The 17,969-nt window shown below is 45.8% G+C and overlaps 1 protein-coding gene across 4 annotated transcripts in view, besides 3 other annotated features; it reads left to right on the top strand.

Annotated features, from left to right (window-relative positions):
• The window catches only part of TRPM1 (transient receptor potential cation channel subfamily M member 1), a 160,096-nt gene that overhangs the window by 71,455 nt on the left and 70,672 nt on the right, over positions 1–17,969 (top strand). For 3 of the 4 annotated variants that reach the window (NM_001252020.2, NM_002420.6, NM_001252030.2), the window contains exon 2: positions 12,722–12,801. In NM_001252020.2, the coding sequence (NP_001238949.1) occupies positions 12,722–12,801 (80 nt within the window). Of the gene's footprint in view, positions 1–8,267; positions 8,354–12,721; positions 12,802–17,969 lie in introns of all 4 variants that reach the window. The other variant, NM_001252024.2, reaches the window with a different exon arrangement.
• Positions 10,536–11,066: an enhancer, noted in NCBI's record as "H3K27ac-H3K4me1 hESC enhancer chr15:31370843-31371373 (GRCh37/hg19 assembly coordinates)". NCBI's record gives its function as "activates a minimal SCP1, AML or CMV promoter by ChIP-STARR-seq in primed H9 embryonic stem cells {active_cell/tissue: H9 hESC(primed)}" and the evidence as "EXISTENCE:reporter gene assay evidence [ECO:0000049][PMID:30033119]".
• Positions 11,067–11,598: an enhancer, noted in NCBI's record as "H3K27ac-H3K4me1 hESC enhancer chr15:31370311-31370842 (GRCh37/hg19 assembly coordinates)". NCBI's record gives its function as "activates a minimal SCP1, AML or CMV promoter by ChIP-STARR-seq in primed H9 embryonic stem cells {active_cell/tissue: H9 hESC(primed)}" and the evidence as "EXISTENCE:reporter gene assay evidence [ECO:0000049][PMID:30033119]".
• Positions 12,130–12,661: an enhancer, noted in NCBI's record as "H3K4me1 hESC enhancer chr15:31369248-31369779 (GRCh37/hg19 assembly coordinates)". NCBI's record gives its function as "activates a minimal SCP1, AML or CMV promoter by ChIP-STARR-seq in naive H9 embryonic stem cells {active_cell/tissue: H9 hESC(naive)}" and the evidence as "EXISTENCE:reporter gene assay evidence [ECO:0000049][PMID:30033119]".

Here is a 17,969-nt window from a genome sequence, read left to right as displayed (position 1 = left end):
GTCGGCCCTGGAGCTGACGCTTCCTCAATCATAGGGTGAACCGTCCCAGGGTAGCTGGGCCTGGACCCGTCTCATCAATTACAAACTCTCCCGAGCCAGTGACCCTGGGCCTCCTCGAGTTACAGAGCAAACGGTGCCGCTCAGGCCTGTCTCGGCCCCCCATCCACCGCTGCCCGGGAATGTGCTATTGCACACAGGCCTCCCCAGTGTTCTCCAGCAGTGTTGTGGGCCAGCACTAAGGTCAGCAGGCCATGGTCACCAATGACCTGTCATAGGCATCAAGCCAAATCCTACTGGACTCTGTAGGGAAGAAACAACGTATACTTCATAGATACTTACCAAGATAGCCTCCCGGATTTTGAACCAAGTGGGAAAAGTTAACAACCAAAAAAACATAACTATATATAAACCCTCCCGGGCAATGTTGGCCCACCATTGCCAACCCTCAGAAACCCACCCAGTGGGGGACACGCTGGCCACATGGTCAGAGAATTACGAACTACCTAGAAATGACCACTCCTGTTGCACAATAATGCAACACCAGAAGGCAAACAGCAGCAGCCTGTCTTCAGTTTCCACACTGTATTCATCACGAATTTTCTGTATTGATTTTTGTTTTTTAAAAATATGGCATTAAATGTTACTTATCCTAATTACTGGATTTCTGATACCCCCATTTGAGTGCCTCACTTGCCTCACCCTAAATCTAGAACTGCCCATCAGCCAAGAAAGTGCTGGGAGCCCCACTGCCTCACAGAGGCGCCAGCAGCTTCCACGCAATTCTGCCACCAGACTTCTGGTAGGCAAACACTGATCTCCCGCTCGGGGGGGCCAAATGTCAATACCCGCAGCAGGGCTTATCGCATCGCCCCGGTACAAAGGCCTCCTCTGACGCATCCCCCCAGCAGAAAGAACGTTCAGGTGTTTGATACCATGGTTGGGAACGTTCCCACAGGTAGCAGGAAGACGAATACCGCCGCTTCAGTCAATCTCATACGACGGCCCCCAAATCCCAAAAAGGCTTAGTATGAAATGCCCATCCTAGTCCGTGAGTGTGGCATGTCCGCAGTTTGTTCCTTCAGATGTTTCCTACGTTTCTTCCTTCCGGTGGGTTCTTGGCCTTGCTCACTTCAGCAGTGAAGCCGCAGACTTTTGCAGCAAGTGTTACAGCTCTTAAAGGTGGCGCATCCAGAGTTGCTCGTCTTTCCAGGTGTGTTCGTGGGCTTGCTGACTTCAGGAGTGAAGCCACATACCGTACAGTCAGTGTTACAGCTCTTAAAGGTGGTGCCAACCCAGACACTTTCTGCTTGCAGCAATAACATTTATTGCCAAGGGAGAAAGAACAAAAAGAAGAAAGCTTCCACAACCAATAAGGAGACCCGAGCGGATTGCCAGGGCTGGCGCTGGTGACCAGCTTTTATTCCCTTATTTGGCCCCACCCACATCCTGCTGATTGGTCCATTTTACAGAGAGCAGATTAGTCCATTTTAAAGAGTGCTGATTGGTCCGTTTTTACAGCGTGCTGATTGGTGCGTTACAAACCTTTAGCTAGACACAGAGTGCTGATTGGTGCATTTACAATCCTTTAGCTAGACAGAAAAGTTCCCCAAGTCCCCACCCGACCCAGAAGCCCAGTCGGCTGCACCTCTCACAAGGACTAGAGTGAAGCGCAGATAGCTGCATTTCTTAAAAAGTTGTTTTAATTGTGGTAAAATACACATAACATAAAATTTACCATCTTACCAGTTTTTAAATGTACAGATTGTGTTAAGTACATTCACATTGTTGTGCGACCAATCCCCAGAACTCTTTTCATCTTAGAAAATGGAAAAACTACCCATTCCTCCCTCCCACCAGCTCCTGGCGGCCACCATTCCATTTCCTGTCTCTATCAGTTTGACTGCTCTTGGTACCGCACATCACACAGCAATTGTCCTTTTGTGACTGACTTATTTCACTTATCGCCATGTCCTCAAAGTCCATCCCTGTTGTGGTATGTTCTGAATGCCCTTCCTGCTGAATCATATTTCATTGTGTGGATAGATCACATTTTGTTTATCCACTCATCTGTCGATGAAAACCTGGCTTACTCCTACCTCTTGGCTATTGTGAATAATGCTGCTATGAACACAAGTGTAAAAGTCCCTATTGAGGCCGGGCATGGTGGCTCACTCCTGCAATCCCAGCACTTTGGGAGGCTGAGGCAGGCAGATCATGAGGTCAGGAGATTGAGACCATCCTGGCTAACATGGTGAAACCCCGTCTCTACTAAAAATACACAAAAAAATTAGCGGGGCGTGGTGATGGGGGCCTGTAGTCCTAGCTACAGGACTACATGGAGGCTGAGGCAGGAGAATGGCGTGAACCCGGGAGGCGGAGCTTGCTGTGAGCCAAGATTGCACCACTGCACTCCAGCCTGGGGCACAGAGCAAGACTCCGTCTCAAAAAAAAAAAAAAAAAAAAAAAAAAAAAAATCCCTATTGAGACCTGCTTAACTGCTGGATCATAGGATAATCCTGTGTTTCATTTTCGAGGAACTGCCATACTGGTTTCCACAGTGGCTGTACTCTTTTACATTCCTGCCAGCAATGAACAAGTTTTCCGATTTCTCCACATCCTCACCAGCACTTGTTATTTCCTGTTTTTTCAGAGTATCCATCCTAATGGGCATGAGATAGTATCTCATTGTGGTTTTAATTTTTAGTTCCCTAGTTAAGATGAGTGATGTTGAGTATCTTTTCATGTTTGTTGGCCATTCATACATCTTCCTTGGAGAAATGTGTAAAGTCCTTTTTTAAATCAGTTTGTTCATTTGTTTGCTGTTATTGGGTTGTAAGGTATTGTAAATATTAATATATTTTAAATATTAATTGCTTATCAGATATATGATTTGCAAATATTTCTCCACATTGCATAGGTTGTCAGATATATACACTTTTAACAACCTCCCTTAGACCAGGGGAGAAATGCTTTGAAGAACCTGGCACAGGATCTGTGGGCCCCTTTCTAGAAGCAAGTTTCTGGGCCAGGTTCCACCTAGGAGCAGGGCCCAAGGGGAGGAGACAGGGAGGAGTGCTGGCTCCACTCAGACCCTGGAGCCCCTGCTGGGAGAGGTGGGGATGCTGACCTAGGCACCCACAGGCACCCAGAAGCCAGGGCCTCCCCCATTTACAGGGCACATCATGTCCCTGGTCACCACCCCTCGAAAGAGCATGATGCCAAAAAGCCCGGGCTGTGCCTGGGTCCCCTCTGCGATGGGGCAGGGGGCTGCACACATCTGCAAGGCGCAGCTTGTGTTAGAAGCACCTGCCTGGCTTATCTCCATGTGACTCTGTAAATGGGGAGCAGTGGAGTCTGATACCAGCAGGTGCTCCAGGCATCCAGTCTGATGCCTCGCAGGAGCTCCCTGCTCTGCTAGCTCCACCTGAGGGGCTAGAGGCCAACCTTGCCGCTCCCCCTCTCCTCCCGTCCCTTCCTCCCAGCCTGGTCTGATGCCCCATGGTTCTCCCCACAGCCCCCAGGTGTTCCCCAGTGGTCCCACCCTTTTCTTCAGGTCCAGCAGATGCCTTAGCTGGAGTTATCTGCTTATGACAGCCCTTGTTTATGACCACTGTGAAGGTAGTTCTCTGAAGGGTGAGAGAATTAGATAATCCAACACCCAGCCCAGTTTTCCTTTGCTTTTCTCCTCGGAACGGTCAGAGATCAGTGATCGTACAAGTTAGTCCCACAGGTCTTCCTTCCAGGACATCCTACACCCATCAGTCTGGGCCTGGGGTCTTTCTCTAAGCGTGAGGCCTGTGGCTGCGGGTCCAGGGTATCTTTTCTGCCAGTGGTAAAAAATGAGAAGCAAATATCAAAAGATTCAAAAGCCTGACCCTGGCTGCTGTCTGTGTCCAGCCAGGATAATTCGGGGTCTGCATTGCAGCTCTTCTGTTTTTGTTTGGTTTTGTTCTCCTAATTGACTATTTGCACTAACCAGGTCAGGGCTAACTAGTAACACCCTACATTCTGCACAAAAAATCAGCAACCCCATGACCTGTGATGAGGGTGGCCTGGCAGGAGGCAAAAGCGACAAGCGTTCCTGGTATCTGACCAGCACCACCTTGAATTAGGACATCAACACATGCGATTGGACTATAAATCATGTAATGACAACTGCAATGACAACTCTAAAAACAATTGGGCGTGTGCTCACATTTTCACAGTAAAGCCCCGACAATGTTGACAAAATCCACTGTTTGAATTCTGATACGACTTTCTTCCATTTTGTGATCTTTTTATTGCTCTTAATTACAACGGTTAGCATTAGAGACATACCCTATGATTCCATTATTTGCAATTGCAGCTTAAATATGCATATGTCCTAAATGATGGAATGATAACCAGCAGTGCCATTGGAAAATGAAAATATTAGTGATGCTGCAGAAATGCCAAGGATGTAACCATGAGGCTGGACTCTTGGAACTGGCCATAGCTGGGGAGACCTTGGACTGAGGCACCCTGGTATTGGCTGGGTGACCCTGGGCACATTCTCCTTTTTCTCTTTTTTAAAATAAGCTATGTTGGTCTTTAGAAAATTAAAAACACAACACGGACAATGAAGAAATTAAAGAAAAAGTCTGTATCCCCTCCCACAAACACAAAATGAACAAGTTAATGAATTTGCTTCCTTTTTTCCTAGCCATATTTTGTATTCACTTTAAAAAGAAAAAATGTTGGCTGGGCACGGCAGCTCATACCTGTAATCCCAGCACTTTGGGAGGCTGAGGCAGGTGGATCACCTGAGGTCAGGAGTTCGAGACCAGCCTGGTCAACATGGTGAAACACCCATCTCTACTAAAAAATACCAAAAAAAAAAAAAAAAAATTAGCCAGGCGTGGTGGCGGGCGCCTGTAGTTCCAGCTATGCAGGAGGCTGAGGCGGGGAATCACTTGAACCCAGGAGGTGGAGTTTGCAGTGAGCCAAGATCGCGCCACTGCACTCCAGCCTAGGCGACAGAGTGAGACTCTGTCTCAAAAAAAAAAAAAAAGAAAAGAAAAAAGAAAGAAAGAGAGAAAAAATGTCTTACTGATAGCACTATTCACAATAGCCAAAAGTGGAAACAACCCAAATTCATCAACTGATGAATTCATGTAATGGAATATTACAGAGGCATAGAAAAGAGTAAAGTCCTGATCTGCGCTACCTGGATGACCCTTGAAAACATGACGCCGAGCAAAAGGAGCCAGACACAAAAGGCCACACGTTGAATGATTCCATTCATATAGAGTGCCCAGAATAGGCAAATCCATAGAGACAGAAAGTGGATTTGTGGTTGCCAGGAGCTGGGCAGGGTCAGGGAGGAATGAGGAGTGACTGCTAATGGGTACCGGCTTTTTTTAGGAGTGATCAAAGTGCTCTGGAATTAGGTAGTGGTGATGGTTTCACAGTCTTGGAACTATATGTAAAACACTGAACTGCAGACTTTAATAGGTGAATTTTAGGGTATGTGGATTATATCTCGATTTTTAAAAAAGAAAGTACAAAGAAAAATATCACTGTCTTTAAAGATCCAGCTCTGTTTCCTGGACTCTAGTCTAGAGGAGGATCTCTCAGTGTCCCCAGAGGAGAGCCCCTGGGAGAGAAGAAGGCTAGAAACCCGGAGGAAAGGGAACCCTGGCCCAGGAGAGGGGTCGGCTGTGACGACCTCCAGCATTTCCTGCAAGCCAGCCCTGTCACCTTCCTGCGGATAGTGATGATGAAGCAGAGGACAATAGGTTTCAAAGGTCTTCCAAGCATGGTGTCACTAGGCTCTCACACCAGCCTGTGGGGCAGATGTGAGGGGTATCATTGTCCTCATTTTGCAGGTGACGTTCCACAAGATGGGACTGAGGTGACCCTCAGCTGGGCCCTCCTACCTGTGCTCTCTGCAGCTAGGGGCAGGAGGCTGCATCTGACCTGAGAGTATCCCTGAGAAGCCAGAGCAGGACTCTCAGCTGAACCACCCAGAAATGGCCAGTTGGACCCAGGCCAGGACCTCCAGTGGCAGTGGAGCGAGGGGGTGGGAGGGTGGAGCAGGAAGGAGTGGTTGTGGCTTTTAATCCTTTCTGCATATAAGGCTGGGCGGCTTGTGCTTTGGCTGGCAGGCTTGTTTGATTCTCCTGCATGGAGAGTTTCAGGCATGCAGGTGCCACCCCAGGTGGGGCCCACAGGTGCCCCTAGGAGCCGGGCAAAGGCAGGTCCCAGGGAGCTGTCAGGGCACATGTGGGAACCCGCCGCCACCTGCAGCTGTGCCAGGACACCAGCCAGCGTTCCCACATCCTGAGGGCTTTCAAGAGAAGCCATAAGTATAATCTCCCTCTTGGTTAATAATGGCAGCTAAATGTAGTTTTCACAAAAGGTTCCAACCAAGCCCATATGTGGGCCACATGTAGCTGTGGGAATGAGAGTTTGAGTCGTCTGCTCTAAATATATACACAAAACAAGCAGTTTCTTCTGGATAAACTGGTCCACACATCATTCATTTCATTGCGGGGTTTGCTTGTTAATTTTGGCCCAAGACATAGGGCTTTGAGTAAACAGAGCCTCGCCCGGCAGTACACCAGCTCTTACATTCAGAAGCCACTTCCCCGAGCCATGTCCTCCCAGACCAAAGTCACACTGTGTCTTTGCAGCCTTCCTCCTTGTCTCCGTCCAGCCTTCTCAAGGTATCCCCCTGCACCTTCCTGTACCCCTCCTTGTGGGTCGCCCCCACCTGTGTGTGTAAACACCTTCTAGAAGGTCACATTGTTAAAGCCCCCCATGACCCTTCATTCCACTCCAGCTCCCACCATTTCTGGGCTCCCCTTCAGGGGAAGACTTCTCCTCGGGGTTGACACTTGCTGTCTACACTTCCTCGGCCCCCTCACTCTAAAACTACGTAAATGCCCAGAGAATAACATGACAACGTGCACCTGAGCAACCCCCACCCAGATGGTACAAAGGTTTCCTTGGCCATGTTTGTAGCAGATATTTCTTTCTTTAAAAAATAAATAAGTACAGAGCTGGCAGAACATTTCCCATTGCCCTTCAGCCCACTCCTCTTGGACTTTCTTCCCGCAGCCTCCCCGTGGCCCTTCATGGACACATGGTCCTGGCTACAGATGAAAAATCGCTGGGTCCTCAGCAGGGCAGTCATATTTGATAATGACCAGGATTGCATTTAAATCTAGTACCTCCCAGATACTGTACAGATAAGATCCCAGCTAAGGCTCAAAACCACTCAAAGCCATTTCCATTTCAGAGATGAGAAAATCACAGCTCAGAGGGGTTGGGGGCGTGGTGGCAGTGCCAGCAGTCCGCCTCCAGTATGACCTCCACTGTCCCTTCACTCAGCCGGGGTAGACAGACTTCCCAGCTGGGACAAGCACTCTTAAAATCTCAGTGGGATTTCCATCTCCAGTGCCAGTGCTCCTATCATCCGGCACAGAGGCATTCAAAATAACCATTTCTGATGGACTGGAATATTTTGCACAAGTGGGCAGTATCTCACCTAATGGGGGTGGGGAGGTTATGAAGGGTTTGTGAACAAACCACAGGAAGCCCTGCTTTCTCCTTTCACAAGGACAGGTGGCACCTGCAGGGTCTCCCCTGCAGTGGCGTTATCGTTGCACTGAAACTTGCATGACCAATCTGTAAGGAGTCAGGGTGGGTTCAGCCATTTGTTATGACCTTGGCATTGTTCAGCCCCAGAGCCTGGCAGGAGGGGAAGGAGGAAAGTTTGACTGAGGGGCCTCCACCCATTGCCTTTCACCTGCACACTGCCTCTGAGCAGATTCAGGAGACCAAGCTCCTCCCCAGGTGAGCCATGCCTCTCCTGGGGTGACCTGGCTTACTTCATGTGTGCCCTGCTGGCAAATGCTCTGCTGCTGTAGGTGGCATTAGCAAGGGCTGAGCAGGTGGCACTGCTCCACCGGGAGGTTGAGTAAATCACTGAGTCATTAGGAGATGTTGAGCTCTCGCCAGGCCCTCCTGGAGGCACAGGGGATACAGCAGAGAACTGAAGGGGGCTGCTGCCTCTGTGGCTTTGGTGCGAGGTTGGGGAGGAGGGGACAGGCAGGAGGTGGGGGAGAAGGTTTATGGAGAACAGAGCGCAGGGGTTGGGGTAGATGGGGAGTCAGGGAGCCCTGGTGAAGAGGCCACATTAGAGCAGAGACTGGAACAAAGGGAGGGCAGGATTTGTTCATCTTGCTTCCCAAGAAAGAGGCTGCAGGCAAAGTGACTCTTACTCCTCTTGTTTATCCTCGTAGGTTCTAGAAGATTTCTGAGGACTCAGCAGTAACTTGCAGTGCTGGACTGAGGCTATTTCCTTATATCAACTTTTTGAAAACTCATGGTTAATACCTAAGTAAAGCACTTCCACCTTCCCCCCCTCCCCCCCTGAGAAAGTACGTTAGTCACATGCTAGCGTTTTTATTAGGAAAAGACGGATTTCCAGTGAAGCAGAGGGAAGTGGATTGAGCCTGGCTCGGGCCATGGCGCCAGTTGCACTTGCCCTGGTGCCGAGCCACAGCAAGGGCTGGCACTCGGCACCATGAAAAGCCCTCCTTTTCGGAATCTGGGGGACAAAATGCAAGACCGATGCCCCAGAGTCATCACAGATGACCTTCATTGGCACGATAAGGGGGGGGACAGGGGGCCCTGCCTTGAAGGAGGCATCTAAACACCCCTTGTGATGGAACAGACTTAGCCACAAAAGCCAGCGAGGGGCACGTTGTTGCTCCCTCATCCGCCGGTGGCATTAAGTCCTGTAGGGCAGGCTGCGTTTCCCCCTTTCACGATGAGGGGCCTGAGCCTAAGCGCTCGGAGCCTGGGCTTTAGTTTCTGATTCCCCACGCTGTGCTGGCACAGGTTTCCTGGACAGCGCCCCAGCGCGGGTTTCTTATCCTAGGGCGGTGAGAGGGGCTGCCAGGGAAAGTGTGGGAAAGGACGAGGGGCGGGACTATGAGAGGGAGCGGGGCTGGGGGCGGGGCCTGGAGGACCGGGCTGAGAGGGCGGGACCGTGAGAGGTAACAGGGGGCGGGGTGAGGGGGCGGGGTCGAGGACGATGGGGGCGGACTTGGGGGCGGGGCCTGGGGGCTAGGGAAGGACAGTGCCAGATCTTGTGTCCAGCCTCTGGAATCTTCCCTCAGTTCTTCCTTGTCTTTTCGTGGCCTTGACGTTTTTGAGGAACGCAGGTGGGTTATTTCGTAGGATGGCCCTCAGTTCGGGCTGTCTGATGATCCTTCCTCCAGATCAGGTTCAGATGATGTACTTTGGGCACTTTTGTTCCTCTTGGTGCGTTTTATCCAGAGCCTCATAATAAATATTTGTTCCATGACAGGCGATGTGCACTTTGTTTTAGGTGGTTCTCCCCAGAATTCTCCACTGTCAAGTTACTAATTTCTCCTTTGTAATTAATAAGTATCCATGGGAAATACTTTGAGATTATGTAAATACGTTGTTACTCTTCAGACTTTTACCCACTACTTTTAGCATTCATCAGAGATTCTTGATGGTTGCCAAATGGTGATTGTCGGATTCCATCATTCCTTCCACATTTAATAGGGACTTTCCACTGGAAGAAAGAGCTTTCTCCCTCCCCTGTGCGTTTATTTACATATGTATTTATATCAGTGTGGACCCATGGGTCTTTATTTAAGTCTAAAGGTTATAATTCTTCATTGTAGTCATTTATTTTCATGCTGAAGGGACCCCAGAGAAAGCCACTGGGAGCCCCTTCAAGCAGCCACTGTGTTCTTTTGGCATGTTCCCATGTCAAAAGTAAAGTTTCTCACTTGCTGGTACAGTAAGGTGTTCCAGGCTCTTCTTATACTTCCCCGCCCCAGCCCTGGATTCCTTTTAGTGGAGAATGGTATTTGGAAACCAGTATTGGAGCATGAGTATGCTCATTGCTATTGAAGTGTTATTGTGAAGCCCATTAAGGGAGCCAGGGAATGTATGAGTGTGTAAGCATACAGGCATGCATGCATATGTGCATATGTATGTAGGCATATGGCCCCAAGGTCCCTGCCTGCTGATATGCATGCTTTGTGTAACCCCCTCCCTTGAGTGTGGGATGGACTGAGTGACTCAATGCTAATGAATGGGCTACGGCAAAAGCCATGGGCTGTCACTTTGGACACCAGGTTATAAAGAGACCTGGCTTCTGTTTTGCATGCACTCTTTTGCTTGCGCACTCAGAGGGTGGTCAGCTGCCCCTTCGTGAGCTGCCCTGGAGAGCGGTTTCCCTGGCAAGGAGTTAAGGGAGGCCTGGGCCAACAACCACATGAGTGAGCCTGGAAACGGATCCTTCCAGGTTTCCTTCCTTCCCTTAAGACCACAGCCCCCACCCATAGCTCAGTCAAATCCTTGTGAGAAACCAGAGTCAGAAGCACCCAGCTAAGCCACATTCAACTCCTGGTCCATAGAAACTGGGAGATAATAATTGTTTGTTATTCTAAGCCACTAAGTTTTGGGGCAATTTGTTTTGTTACTCCATAGTTAATTAATGCAATATGTTATATCTCTATATATGTGTATATGTATAGACAGGGACCACACATACATTTATATCTGTTTTTATACCTGTCTCTATATATTACAAACCATGAGTTCACACTGATAACTTTAATTTTAGCTCAGTGCTACAAGGTTCATTGTGACCTTCCCCACTTTCCATATTTGTAACTCCTTTCTCCAGCAGTGAGAAACCCAGCTCCAATCATCTGCAATGTATTAATTTATTTGTTCAGTCCTAGAGGACACAAAAACAGCTTCAGAATTGCTATCCTATGTTCCAGAAAAAGTAACCTACTCATGGGAGTTCAATCTTTGTTTAGAGTTCTTGTCTTTAGTTGTCATATAGTCCAAATACTGCAACCCCTATGTTATAAAAAACAAGGGCTTCCCAGCTTCTCTGGGAAGTAAGGCATGAGATGCAAAGGGGAAAAGCACAGTTTCTTTCCAGGCAGCAGGTGCTGGGCTTCGCTGTCTTGCGCTGGAGAAGTGCGAAACAGACGGGAAAAGTGCAAAACAGAAGGGCAGGGCGGGGCTTCAGAGGCTCCCGCTCCATGCTTTCTTTCTCCCCTGAGCCCACACTGCCTGCCTCCCTTGCATTAGCACAAAAGCACCAACCTCTGAGGCCAGCGATGTTGTTTTTAAACAGTCATTAAATTATTTACAGAGAAAAGTGTACGGTGTTGCTTTTTGAAGGCTACTGAGGAAGGTTTGAATTTTCATCATTTCTATTATTCAAAAAGCCAAGTAACAAGCCGACTTGGATCTTCCCAGAAAGGCTGAGTTTGGGGGGTACTTGCACGCCCTAGTCCGCACAGCTGGGACTAGGGCTGGGGCTCTCCTAGAGTAACAAATGGGGCATCGGCATGACCTCTCTGCGGAGGGCCTCTCTGACATGCAGTTGTCACTGCAGACCTCTGCAGAGGTGACCTCCCCAGAGACAAGGGACCTCCCAGAGCAGCACTGCTGCTTAGGTAAATGGGGACAGCCAGGAGGCCAGCTCCAAGCCTCACCCCGCAGATACCTCAGTCCCATCCTGGTCACAGGCACATGGGGCACTCCTCATGGCAGTTGTGGGAAAGTGGCCAAGGACACAAGGCTCCCGCCGGCCATGGTTTCTCTAAGATCTGACTCAGGATTGTCACATGCTAAGCGTTCTACTTCCCCATGCCTGCAAGCACCCCACAAGCTCCCCACAGACATACACACTACACAGGTCATAGTCATGCACACGCCACACTACACAGGTCATAGTCATGCACACAACACACTACACTGCACACATACCACACACATAACACCACACACACATCACAAACACACACCACACATGCGTGCGCACACACCCACTCACATACAGACTCATCACACACACACACATGCATCACGACACACTCTGCACTCGTACAACACACATCCATCAGACACATACACAAACATAGCACACACACACACACATCATACATCCACAAATAGCACAAATACGCACTGAGCCAGGCCTCATGGAGATCCAGCGAAGGGTGCTGGCTCTCTCCCTGCCTCCCACGAGCCCTTCCAGGGATCCCCGAGGCCCCTGCCCCACAGCCTGCCTGCACCTCCCTCCCACCTGCAGGAAGGGCTCTCCCCAGCTCTCTCTGCCAACTGACTCCACAAACCCTGGGAAGCAGACCCAATGGGGCCCTTCAGATGCAGGCCGGTTCACTTCCCAGTGCCCAGCCTCTGTGTGAGATGTCCCTGGTGACAGAACAAGAGGCCATGTGGGATAAAGCCAGCAGAAATCGCTGAGCATCCAGCACCAGCAGGGCCTCCACAGGGGATTTCCCTCCCACCTCCTTCTGCTCCAGGTGGCCTCCCTGAGCCACACCCCTAACGTGCCATTTCCAGATGGTAAACAACACTTGCACTGCAGTTTATCTCCTTGGAAATCCCCACAGCTCCCACCCCAGAACCGTGCACAAAAAATATCTTCAACAGGTGGATATGGATGAATTAAGGTGCAAAATGAGAACCATTAAATACATACTTGCAAGCCATTTCTCTTAAAAGGTACTAGAGCTAAGATCCTTAAAGACTTGCATCCACCATTATTGCAGATGACTATTCAGATGTTGTGGGCAGACATATTGTTTTATAAAGGTATAAGAATGGACTCTGATGATGGCTTGGGAATGTATTGGTCCAATATCCACTTCTCTCTCTCTTCCAGGGTCAGAAATCTTGGATAGAGAAAACCTTTTGCAAACGGGAATGTATCTTTGTAATTCCTAGCATGAAAGACTCTAACAGGTAAATTGAAATCCACGATTAAGACATTATCCAAACCAGTGCTTGTCTGCCACTATTCTCATGTTTGTAAGAGGCAGAAAGAGGAGTCCAGAAGGGTGGCCAGAATCCATTCCCCATGGGAGTCACTAACAAGGGAGTCACTGGGGCTCCTTGTTACTCCATTAACATGCAAATGGCTTCAGAAAAGAGTTTGTGTCCACCACCCACCCTAATGCGAACTCTCATAGCCAACTGGGCCCACATCATTCCTCTTAGTCTCAGCAAGATCAAGGAGTTGAGGGCTTTCAACAGGTTTCCAGGATATTTTCCAGGCCTCTTCAATAGAGTTTCATAATGTATTTAGATGAAAAGGAATTTCCATCACAGGAAAGATCTGAGCGGTTGAATGAACTAGCTATAACTTTATTAAAGGATTTGGCTTGTACACAAAACATCCAACAATTTTATTCACCTACATTAAAATGCATCTGTTATAAGCTGAACAGAGGCCTTGTAAAGTCATGTAAGTAGAGATTAATTTAACTAAAATGTCTCATCTCTAAGGGCAAAAGCTATGAGGCTGAGTCTGGGGGAAGGGGAACAATTTATCCATACATTCGTCCAATATGAAATTCATGCAGGTAGAATAATGACACAGAAGTACACACTCTTCAAGATCACCTGCTTCAAATTTGTTTCACACATGCAATCACAGTCCCTCCACATCCCCAAGCTGCCCCTTGCCCCACACCACCCTGCAGATTCTCCTCCCTGCTTAAACCCCAGTGATTGCCCCCCGAGGTAAGAAATGCCATTATGAAACAATGCCAACGGTCACAAAAGTCTCCCCTTTGTTGCATCTACATGTCCCTTCTTATTTCAATGGCACATAGGCCATCCTGGGAACTCTCTGTGCCAGCACTGCAGTCCTCCATGAAGCCAGATGCCCAGGCAATAGAGGGCAAAAAGTGCTTCTGGGCTCACATACAAGCCTCCTTGATGCACTCCATGCAGTCCCCAGCATGGATTAAAAAAAAAAAAAAACTAGAATGAAAAAACCAACCGTTTAAACCCTTGGAAATGATCCCAAAGACAAACAGCAAGTAAAGGAATATCTTTAGAGAAAGCCAGCAAAAATTCAGTAAGAAAGGCTAGAGTCTGTGGGATTTGAACCAAGAGTTTCCTCCCTCCCTCTGCCCAGCTCAGCAAGATAGAGACTCTACTCCAGAGTGCTGCAGCCAAGAACACAGAGCTCCCTCTCCACCAGCTCCCAGTCAGGGGGCTTTCTTCCTGGGAGGAGCAGGATTTCAGCATTTCTCATCCTGTCCCTTACCACCTGTTGCTGAGGCTAAGTCCTGAATGAATGCAGTTGAGAGATAGAGGCTCCCTTCTTCCACCCGTGCCCCACTCATGTAAGCAGCAACCACAGAAAGTGAGAGTGGTTATAATGGATTCAGACAAAACATACTTTAAAGCAAGAAAATGTAACTAGAGATATTAAGAACATTTTATAATGATAAATGGGACAATCGATCAGGAAGTTACAACAAATATAAACATATATGTACCTAAAACAGCACCAAAATGCATGAAGCAAAACTGACATAAACAAAGGGAGAAGTAGACAATTCAACATGACAGTTGGAGACTTCAATACCCCACTTTCAATAATGCATAGATCACCTAAACAGAAGACCAACAAGGGAATAGAAAGCTTGAACAACATCATAAACCAATTAGGCTTAACAGATAACTATAGAGCACACCACCCAGTAACAATAGAAAACACATTCTTCTCAAGTGCATATGGAACATTCTCCAGCATAGACCATGTGTTAGTCCATTAAAAAGCCTCAAAATATCTAAAAGGATAGAAATAATACAAACTGTCCTCCAACCACAATGTAATAAAATTAGAAATAAGAAACCAATAGGAGGAAAAAAATTGGAAACTCATAAATATGTGAAAATTAATACACTACCAGATAACCACTAGGTTAAAGAAAATGTCAGAAGGTTAATTAGAAAATACTTTTAGGTAAATGGAAATGAAGACATAACAAACCAAAACTTAGGGGATGCAGGTAAAGTAGTACGGACAGGGAAATTTATACCTGTAAATACCTATATTAAGAAAGATATTTAATAAGTAACATAACTTTCTACCTTAAGACACTGGAAAAAGAAGAGTAAACTAAACCTAAAGCAAGTAGAGGGAAGGAGATAATGATTAAAGTGGAATTAATGGAAAAGAGAATAGAAAAGTAGAGAAATTCAATGAAATTAAAAGCTCTTCTTTAAAAACCTCAACAAAATTCACATATCTTTAGCTAGAGTCATAAAAGAAGAGAAAGATAAGACTCAAATGACTAGACTCAGAAATGAAAGAGGGGACATTACTACCAACCTTATAGAAATGAGTATGAAAGAATACTATGACTTATATGCAAACAAATTAGATAACTTAGATGAAATGGGAAAATTCTGAGAAATATACAATCTGCCAAAACTGACTCAAGAAAAAATGTACAATCTGAACAGATCTATAAGGAGTAAAGAGATAGGATTAGTAATAAAAAAACTGTCCAAAGAAAAGCCCAGGCCCACATGGCTTTTTCGATGAATTCTAAAAAACATTTAAGGAAGAGTTAATACCAATTCTTCACAAACTCTTCAAGAAAATAGCAGAGAAGGGAACATTTCCCAACTCATTTAATGAGGCCAGTACTACCCAGATACCAAACTAGACAAAGATATCACAAGATAGAAAACTATAGATCAATATCTATTATGAACATGGGTGCAGAAATTCTGAACAAAATACTATCAAACCAAATCCAGCAACATATAAAAATAATGATACACCATGACCAAGCAGGGTTTATCCCAGGAATGTAAAGTTGGTTTACATTAGAAAAATAAATAATGTAATATAGCATATCAATATAGTAGAAACAAAAATCACATGATCTTTTCAATAGGCACAGCAAAAGACTTGGATAAAACTCAACACTCTTTATAAAAAATCACTCGGAAAACCAGGAATAGAAGGGAACTTCCTCAACCCGATAAAGAACAGCTATAAAGAATCCACAGTTAACATCAGACTTAATGGTGAAAGATTGCTTTCCTCCTAAGATTAGGAACAAGATAAGGATGTCCTCTCTCGCTACTTCTATTCAACATTTTAATGGAAGTACAGGCCAAAGCAATTAGGTAAGAGAAATAAAGAAAGAAAAAATATTGAGATTGGAAAGAGAGAAGTAAAACTCTCTATTTGCAGATGACATAATCTTATACATAGAAAAATCCTAAGGAATCCACCAAAAAATATTAGAACTAATAAATGAGTTCAGCAAGATTGTGGCATATAAGATCAATACACAAAAATCAAATGTATTTCTATACACTTGCAATGAACTATATGGAAATGAAACTGGCAACATAATTTATCTATAATTGCATCAAAAAGAATAATAGGAGGACTCACATTTTCTGATTTCAAAACTTAATACAAAGCTACAGTAATAAAAGGACAACGATACTGGCATAGGATAGACATATAGACAAATGGAACAGAATTGACAGTCCAGAAATAAACCCATACACCTATGGCAAATTGATTTTTGGCAAGGGTGAAAAGTACTTTCAATGGCGAAATAGTAGTCGTCTCTTCAGCAAATGGTACTGGAATAACTGGATAGCCACATGCAAAAGAATAGTCTTGGACCCTTACCTCATGCTATCTATAAAAGTTAAAATGGACCAAACACCTAAATGTCAAAGCTAAAACTATAAAACTCTTAGAAGAAAATGTAAGGGTAAATCATGACCTGGGATTTGGCAAATGATTCTGAGATATTACACCAAAAACATGGACAACAAAAACAACAAAAAAATTGTCTTTACCAAAATTAAACACTGTGCTTCAAGGGACGCTATCAAGAAAGTGGAAAGACAACCCACAGAATGGGAGAAAATATTTGTGAATTATGTCTCTGATAAGGGACTTGTATCCAGAATACGGAAAGAGATCCAATAATTAAAAAAAAATAAATAACCCAAGTTTTTTAAATGGGCAAAGGAAATGAATAGACATCTTTCCAAAGAAGATACACAAATAGTCAATAAGCACATGAAAAATGCTCAATGTCCTTATTCTTCAGGGAAATGCAAATCAAAACCATGATGATAAACTGCTTCACACTCAGAAGGAAGACTAGAATGAAAATGTAAGATAGTGTGTGGGAGAGGATATGGAGAAATCAGAACCCTCAGACACTGCTGGTGGAAATGTACCATGATACAGCCACCTTGGAGAACAGTTTGGTGGTTCTTCAGAAGATTAAACATAGAGTAACCGTATGACCCAGCAATCCCATGCCTAGTGTATACCCAAGAAAAATGAAAACATTCATCCACTCAAAAACTTGTTACATAAATATTCATAGCAGCATTATTCATAACAGCTGAAGAGTGCGAATAGCCCAAATGTCCATTAAATGATAAATAGATAAACAAAATGTTCATCCATTCATACGAGAATATTATTAAGCCATAAAAGGGAGTGAAGTACCAACACATGCTACAATATGGATGAACCTTGAAAACATGCTAAGAAGCTGATCTCCAAAGACCAGATATTACAGGACTGCATTCATATGAAGTGTCTAGAACATGGAAATCCACAGAGATAAAAAGTAGACTTGAGGTTGCTTATGGCTTGGGGAGTGGTGCACAGGTAGATAGATGGTGGTGAGAAGGAAGATAACTTAAAATATGCCATGCCAAGTTTCTTTTTGAGGTGATGAAAATGTTCGAAAATTAACTGTGATGATGGTTGCACATATCTGTCAATACTAAAAACCATTTAATCTCTCTCTCTCTCTCTCTCTCTCTCTCTCTCTATATATATATATATATATATATATATATATATATATATGTTTTTTTTTTTTTTTTGAGACGGAGTCTCACTCTGTCAACCACGCTGGAGTGCAGTGCCACGATCCCGGCTCATTGCAACCTCTGCCTCCGGGGTTCAAACGATTCTCCTGCCTCAGCCTCCCAAGTAGCTGGAATTACAGACGTGTGCCACCACACTCAGCTAATTTTTGTGTTTATGGTGGAGACGGGGTTTCACAATATTGACCAGGCTGGTCTCGGACTCCTGACCTCAAGTGATCCAC

This window comes from Homo sapiens, chromosome 15 (assembly GCF_000001405.40).
Source record: "Homo sapiens chromosome 15, GRCh38.p14 Primary Assembly".
NCBI classification, from domain to species: domain Eukaryota; kingdom Metazoa; phylum Chordata; class Mammalia; order Primates; family Hominidae; genus Homo; species Homo sapiens.
Note: the sequence above shows the minus strand (reverse complement) of the source record. Positions and strands in the feature narration are given on the sequence as shown.